Source organism: Homo sapiens, chromosome X, assembly GCF_000001405.40.
Source record: "Homo sapiens chromosome X, GRCh38.p14 Primary Assembly".
NCBI classification, from domain to species: domain Eukaryota; kingdom Metazoa; phylum Chordata; class Mammalia; order Primates; family Hominidae; genus Homo; species Homo sapiens.
In genome coordinates, this window is record NC_000023.11 from 66,074,027 (window position 1) to 66,082,659 (window position 8,633).

An 8,633-nucleotide genomic window follows, 5' to 3' on the forward strand; every position below is an offset into this window, starting at 1 on the left:
CTGGCAGCCTGCTGGAGACTAAAACAACTTGAGGCTAAATCTACCTTTCCAAGAGTGGAAAATTTATTCAGATAATGTTTGAGAATTCATATATGCCACAATAGGATAGAAACGAAACAGTAGAAATCTCACACTTTCCCTTATACCTCCCTCCTCTACTGCCCAATCAGACTCCAAATGTTATATCACTGTCTTTACCATTTCTGCTAAATTGAGGCCCCTAGGCACTAATCACACTGGCAACTGCATGGTGACATAATGCACCACAACTTTTCCACTAAAAATCTCTAGTCTCTTTCTCTCTGGCTATATTGGTGATTCTCCAGTTACTTCAGTACTTTAAAGGCTGCAGCAGCATGAATAAGAATTTCCTTTAAAAAAAATTAGGTAAGAAAGGTCTCCAGGAGATGGTGAGTTTTATTTTGTCTTGTCTGGATAGAGGTTTGATTTGCTCTCGAATGTTCCAGGGTGGAGAGAAACTAGGAGAAAGCACAGGATGTTGAGGTCTCTGTGGCTTAATCTTCTCCCTCATTTTCATCTTCACCATCAATGGAGAGAGCAGCATACTTCCTTGCAGAACTGAACTTGGAAGCTGGATTTTCCTCAGGTTTCTTTGGCTCAGGTGCAGATCTGGAGTCTTTATCCTTTTTGTCATCTTTCCTATCTGACTCCTTCCAGTGGTCTTTGTTCCCTCCCTCTCCTGGACCATGGCTAGAGTTCCCAGTTTGGCCTTTTGGGATATTCATCCCATCTCCTTCATTTTCGTCTTTCCTTGCTAGTCCTTACTCAGATGGTTGAGCTGGAGCTACTTTACCCCACCAATTGTAGGGGATTGCTGCTCTGTGTCTGAGCTCTGAGATTGAGCAGGAGGGTTAGAACTTCACTTCACCCAACCATTCTCCTTTGGTGGAGGGGCTGGCATTACCTTTAGGGACTGATCAGGTTTGGGAGGTTTAGAAGTTGGAGAGTGACAGTCTTCCTCCTTATTGAGTGTTTCATTTTCTAGTGACTTCTCACTCACTCTCCTTCGTGCATTTCTGCCGGATGTGGCGGAGGTCCCAGTCTGCAATGACTCACTTCCTGTCCTCAACTGTTCCCGTTCCTGAGTTTCTTCACTTTGTCAGCTTGGGTGTCTCTCCCGAGGCCGTCGTTCTAGTTTTGGCTCATCCAGCTGAAGCTGCAACTTCTCGTGTTCCTTCTGTAGCTGTTCTTCTACTTCTCTTTCTCTAGCAGCTGTGTCAACGGGCTTTGCCCCTCCAAAGACAGAAGCATCTCTACTGGACTGGGAGGTACTAGCAGTGGAATCATCTCCTTAGGAGCACTCCGAGGCTTTAGATTCAGTTTGGGTCTTTGGGAGGGACCTCTATCATCACCCATATAATCATCCCGAGAGTAATCATCTCTGGAGCTCCATGACCGATCATCCTGTCTGTCTTATTGGTCTTCATAGCCAGTCCCGCCTCCTCTATAGTCATCATCCCTGTGGCACCCACTGCCAAATGCCCTTCTGCCACTGCCTATCCGGGAATCATAGCGTCTATCATAGTCTCTGCTGCCTTGGTCATCATAGCGATCCCGGCTGCCACATCAATCCATATCCCAGTGTGGGCCATCCCAATACCCATCCTGATACCCATCGTGATACCGGTCTGAATCATAACTATCTCGATACTTGTCTCCAAAGCTATCATCACTTCTTAGTCATCAAAGCTGTCTGTGGCAGGACGAGCCCTCCAGTCTGTATCTGTTTTGTCAGAATCCCGATTTCTATCATGGCCAAAAGAACGATCCTCCCTGTCTTTCCCCTGTGCTTGATCAGCAACGTCCACTTGAATTTTCCTGTTACCTAGAGACTCTTCATTGAGACTCATGGAACTGAGCAGGAAATCTAGGTCCTCAATTTCAGCATAATCAAAACCTTTCAACCTCTCTGGATTGCTGGGTTTACGTGACAAACGCACTGCACTGATATTTAATCCTCGAAAGAGTTCCTTAATTGACTCTTCTGTCATATCATAGGATAGGTTCCCTAGAAAAGCAGTGTAGGGTGGTGATTTGGGAAGACGGTCGATATTGGGTTCCCGAGCAGCCCGTGGAGCAGTGGGAAGGATGGAACGGTCAATTGGAGGCACCCTATACACTTCATCATCATTACTGTGCCAAGTTGTTGAAACATCTCCTTCCAGGTCATCTGTTTCATCAGCCCAGGGTACTGGTTTGGAAACATAGGTGCTTCCTCCACCAATCCTCCCATCCTCAGCCAGAAAGTATGTTAGGGAGAGTCTTCTCCTTCTTCTTCTTTTTTGCTGAGGCCACCATGTTGGGAGAGGGAAAGAGTTTTGGGTGTGTTTCTCAGGAAGCTTTTCTCACTGGGGTTGGGCAATAAATGAGGGTCAGTAGCAGGGAATAACACAAATATAAAATGATAAAGCATGTAAACAGACAAATGTAAGCACTGCTGATGAAGGTGAAATTCAGGCAGACTCCCTTCCTCCACATGGTACTCAAGGTTTTCATGGGTAGAGATTTGCTGACAATAGTGACTTTGTGGCTCCAATTTAGTAGTATTTCTGCTGAAGCACCCACAACCTCCTAGTTTCGGGAAATGAAGACTTTTTTTTTCTTCCTATAGTTTTGTGCCAAGCAAGAGGTTTCACCCTACTTACAGAGTTAATTTCAGATATAAGATGGGGAGGGGGGGATTTTACACTACCAATGCCTGGCTTTCATTTTTAGAAGATCGCAAAAGAACAAATACCAAATATATTGTCAAAGAGTGCATCTGTGGTATATGAGAACCAATGATAATACGTGGGAGTGCAAGTACAGGGAAAATGTTTCCTTAATTATGTTTTGTTCCCCTCACTATAATATTATATTATACTTTGGACTAAGAAGAACCCTTCCCTTCCCTTTTTCTCTTCCCTTCCCTTTTTCCCTTCCTTCCCTTCCCTTCTTTCCTTCCCTTCTTCCCTTTCCTTCCCTTCTTCCCTTCCCTTCCCTTCTTCCCTTCCCTTCCCTTCCCTTCTTCCCTTCCCTTCCCTTCTTCCCTTCCCTTCCCTTCTTCCCTTCCCTTCTTCCCTTCCCTTCTTCCCTTCCCTCCCCTTCTTTTCCCTTCTTCCCTTCCCTCCCCTCCTTCCCTTCCATTCTTCCCTTCCCTTCCCTCCTTCCCTTCCCTCCTTCCCCTCCCTCCTTCCCTTCCCTCCTTCCCTCCCCTCCTTCCCTTCCCTCCTTCCCTTCTCTCCTTCTCTCCCCTCCCCTCCCCTCCCCTTCCCTTCCCTTCCCAATAGGGTCTCACTCTGTCATCCAGGCTGGAGTGCAGTGGCACAATCACAGCTCACTGCAGCCTTTACCTCCCTGGGCTCAAGCAATCCTCCCACCTCAGCCTCCTGGGTAGCTGGGACTACACATGCACACCACCATGACCAGCTAATTTTTGTGTTTTTAGTAGAGACAGCATTTTGTTATGCTCAGGCTGGTCTCAAACTCCTGAACTCAAGCAATCCTCCTGCCTTGGCCTCCCAAACTGCTGGGATAACAGGCATGAGCTACTGCACCTGGCCACAAGTAATTTTCTAACCTCAGAAGAATATGCCTGAAAATATACAGATTTCTTCAGAAACACAAATCATACATCAGACCTAAGACCCGGTATAAGATATTGATCATAATTTAGTTTTCTCCTAAAAAATGTCTGATTGGTTAAGGTTTCAAAGTAAACATTGAATCAATATTCAAATGTACAATCAGGGATGTATGATAGAATTATGCTACTTCTCAGCTAGATTTGAGGTTCACTAGCTATATACTTGGATTTCCAAATCCCAATCACCATCGTAAATAGTGTTTCTTGGTTTATCAGAAAGGAAAGTGAAAGAGTGTGCAGAGGTACCCTTCAAAGTCTCTGCAAGCTTCTGTTGATATATTCCTGCCTTTCTTCCACTCTATCCAAAGTGATTTCCAGATTATGAAAAAAATTACAAAGTAAGCATTCTCTTTAAAAACATGTGGAGAACCCCCTAGTTTAAAGAAGAAAGAGATTTTGTACCTGTTCATTATAACATTACATTGAGTATCTGGTTTGTCTTCAATCAAGATTGGAGCATTGACATGGAAAGGAGAAAACACCAACTCCAAAGAAATATTTATAGTTGCCTCTCCAAATAATTCCTGGATCATTAGTTCTTGGAAATCTGGTACCACTAAATCCAAACCAATGGCCAGTGAATCTTCACTCATAGGTACATCCTGAATTGATATTTTGGGGTATTTCCTGAGAAATAATCAACACAGGAAAATATTAATCCTACATGTTGCAAGAGCTCAAATTATATGGGCTGTAGCATATCTATTAGTTACATAATATCAACAGATGATTTGCAGTGTTTAGGTCAACTAACGAATAGTGTGCCCACAAATTCTCCTTTCATTTTATTTGAATATTATATAATACAACATCCAAACATTCTCACAGGACAACAATTCTATCACTTCAATTTAATGAAAAAAAAAGACATCACACCTGGAATAGCTATTACAAAAGAGACAGACAAGTGTTGGTGAGGATGTGAAAAAAATAGGAACCCCTATACGTTGCTGAAATAAATAAATGTGAAATGGTATATCCACTTTGGAAAATAGTTTAGCTATTTCTTAAAAAGTTAAGCATAATGTTTTCCACTCAATTCCAATTACTTCCAGCAATTCCATTTTTGGTATCTATGCAAAATAATTGCAAACACATTTCCACATAAAGATTTTCCTGTGAATGTTCATAGCAGCATCATTTATAATAGCAAAGAATTGGAAAATAACAGAAGTGTCCATTAACTGATTAATGTGTTAAGTGAAATGTAGTATATCTATATAATGAAATATTATTCAGCAATACAAAGAGTTGAAGTAATGATCTATGCCACAGCATAGATGAAAACACTATGCTATGTGAAATACGCCAGACACAAAAGACCACTTGTATTATTCCATTCATATGAAATGGCCAGAAGAGTAAAATCTATAGAGACAGCAAGTAGATTAGTAAATGGCCCTGAGGGGTCTTATTAGATTGATGAAAATCTTCTAAGATGGGATTATGGTGATGGTGACACAATTCAGTAAATCCACTACAAATTGAATTCTACCCTTAAAATCGGACAAATTTTATGATATATAAATTATCTTTCTCTCCTTTTTTTTTTTTTTTTTTTTGGATGTAGAGTTTTACTCTGTCGCCCAGGCTGGAGTGCAGTTGTGTCTTCTTGGCTCACTGCAACCTCCACCTCCCGGGTTCAAACTATTTTCCTGCCTCAAACTCTGTAGTAGCAGGAATTACAGGTATGTGCCACCACACTTGGCTAATTTTTGTATTTTTAGTAGAGACGGGGTTTCACTGTGTTGGCCAGGCCAGTCTCAAACTCCTGACCTCAAATGATCTGCCCGCCTTGGCCTCCCAAAGTGCTGGGATTACAGGTGTGAGCCACCCTGCCCGGCCTATAAATTATTATCTCTATAAAGTTGTTTATATATACACATATAAATTTTAGCTATATATAATGTGTGTATATATGTAAATATACATACATGACTTTTTATCAATATATATGTATCATTTAGAGAGATTGTATAGCATGTAGCAAATAACACAGCAATGTAATAGTACCTCAAGGGTCAGGATTTACAGCTCACAGGCCATGTTTCCATTCTGTGGTGCAGGGATTAAACAGACACCTCAGTTTCGACTGGGAAAGAAGTAGAATTGGACAATGATTTGCTTTTCAGGTAAAGGAGGAAGTCTTAAGAGAACTCAAATAATTCCCAGATTGTTTCTCATATTTTTGACGAACTTAAATTGTGTGAGGGCTCTGTAAAAAAGAAGAATAAAAAAGCTAAACTGTAGCTTAAAATTTCCACTGAAATAGCATACAGATACAGCAGAGGTTAATTTTATCATAGGATTAAATTTTCGTTTTTCAAACAACCCCATCAAAAAGTGGGCGAAGGACATGAACAGACACTTCTCAAAAGAAGACATTTATGCAGCCAAAAAACACATGAAAAAATGCTCATCATCACTGGCCATCAGAGAAATGCAAATCAAAACCACTATGAGATATCATCTCACACCAGTTAGAATGGCAATCATTAAAAAGTCAGGAAACAACAGGTGCTGGAGAGGATGTGGAGAAATAGGAACACTTTTACACTGTTGGTGGGACTGTAAACTAGTTCAACCATTGTGGAAGTCAGTGTGGCGATTCCTCAGGGATCTAGAACTAGAAATACCATTTGACCCAGCCATCCCATTACTGGGTATATACCCAAACGACTATAAATCATGCTGCTATAAAGACACATGCACACGTATGTTTATTGCGGCATTATTCACAATAGCAAAGATTTGGAACCAACCCAAATGTCCAACAACGATAGACTGGATTAAGAAAATGTGGCACATATACACCATGGAATACTATGCAGCCATAAAAAATGATGAGTTCATGTCCTTTGTAGGGACATGGATGAAATTGGAAACCATCATTCTCAGTAAACTATCGCAAGAACAAAAAACCAAACACCGCATATTCTCACTCATAGGTGGGAATTGAACAATGAGATCACATGGACACAGGAAGGGGAATATCACACTCTGGGGACTGTGGTGGGGTGGGGGGAGGGGGGAGGGATAGCATTGGGAGATATACCTAATGCTAGATGACGAGTTAGTGGGTGCAGCGCACCAGCATGGCACATGTATACATATGTAACTAACCTGCACAATGTGCACATGTACCCTAAAACTTAAAGTATAATAAAATAAATAAATAAATAAATTTTCGTTTTCAATAGGATAATTAATTTAGATAACCACATTTTTCCACATTCTTTTTGAATTTATATTTTAGAAAACTGTCAAACACATGTAACTGGACAGCTTCTCTAACAGTTGAATTGTTAATTTAGATTCTAAGATTTAATGTGTAGTTGTTTAATTATCATTTATTACTGTAGTTTACAATAATCTATTGTGTATTTCTTTTATATTTTCCAGATACAGGGTCTTGCTCTGTAGCTCAGGCTGGAGTGCAATGGTACAATCATGGCTCACTGTATCCTCAACCTCCCAGGTTTAAGCGATCCTCCTACGTCAGCATCCTGAGTATCTGGGACCACAGGTACTCCGTGTCTGGCTAATTAAAGAAAAAATGTTTTGTAGAGTTGGGGGTTCACCTATGTTTCCTGGGCTGGTCTCAAATTCCTGGGCTCAGGTTATTCACTCACCTCAGCCTCCCAAAGCTCTGGGAGTACTTACAATTGTGAGCCACTGTACCTGGCCTTGTGTATCTCAAAATACCTGGAAGAGGCTGAGGTGGGTTGGTCACGCCTGTACTCCCAGCTACTTGAGAAGCAGAGGTGGGAGGATCACTTGAGCCCAGGAGTTTGAGTCTAGAGTGAGCTATGATCATGCCACTGCACTTCAGCCTGGGTGACAGAATGAGACCCTGTCTCAAAAAAAAAAAAAAAATTCTGTCTAAGAATGACAATAAAAAATACATAGAAGAGAATAATTCAAATGTTCTTAGCATAAAGAAAACTATTTAAAATAATGGATATCCCAATTACACTGATTTGATCTTTACAAGTTATATGAGTTTATTAAATTACCACAGGTACTCCAAAAATATATACCTCTATGATGTATCAATAAAAATAAAATTAAAAAACAAATAACACTTATTACAACATTCTAGATGTCATGAAGTCTGAGATCCTCAAACTTCTTTCTGGTGTCTTTAGGAAAGCTTTTCTGGTGCACTGTTTTTCAGATGTGCCTATTGCTAGCATTCTGCACCTCTGTTCAGTTGATGGATGTGATGAAGACAACACATGTATGCCACTCTTCTGGGCCAACACCCAGGTAGATGGCGTTTATGCTGTTGGCTTTAGCAGCCAATACCTGTAAACATTTAATTCATGAACAGAAGTTTACCATTCATACCTCCTTCTCCAATAATATGTCCTTCCCATTGTCTTGCTTCTTAAACACCTCAGCTCCCAGATACAATTGATTTAATGGCTTAGTTCTCTTTATAGTACCCAGGCTTTAGGATATCCCTGCTTACATCTGTAATTACCATTCCCTCAAACACATTAACTCTCCCAAAAGATTCTAGCTCTTCAGGTTTCCTCTTTATACCCTCAAAATATATTTCAGAATATTCTGCCTCCTAAATGATCTTCCACTGGAAGTCTTCTCCAGCCATTTCCTTCTCAGATTTCCTCTTCTAAAACTTCCACCTCCCTGACCAGACTTAATGATTCTTCACTTGGCCCTTCCTTCTACCCAAATAGGCATCACTGAGACATAGACGTCTAAACAGGTAACTCTCCTCAGAAGATACCCAAATATCTGCCATCCATAAAATACACTTGAAAATGATATACATGTTTATTCTCCTATTTCCTTTAACAATTATAGAAAATCTCAAATTTGCAGACCAACGTTTTTCCCCAAATAGTTACTCTATATTTCTTATTACATTTATAGTATTTGCTAATTTAAACTTTTGTTGTTTGGGGGAAAGGAATTTTCACTAGAATTTTAACTAGTCATTGTTTATTGCAAAAGTGTTAAT

General features: G+C 40.6%; 1 pseudogene; it reads right to left on the bottom strand.

Moving 5' to 3' along the window:
* Window positions 318-2,337, bottom strand: EIF4BP9 (eukaryotic translation initiation factor 4B pseudogene 9; annotated as a pseudogene).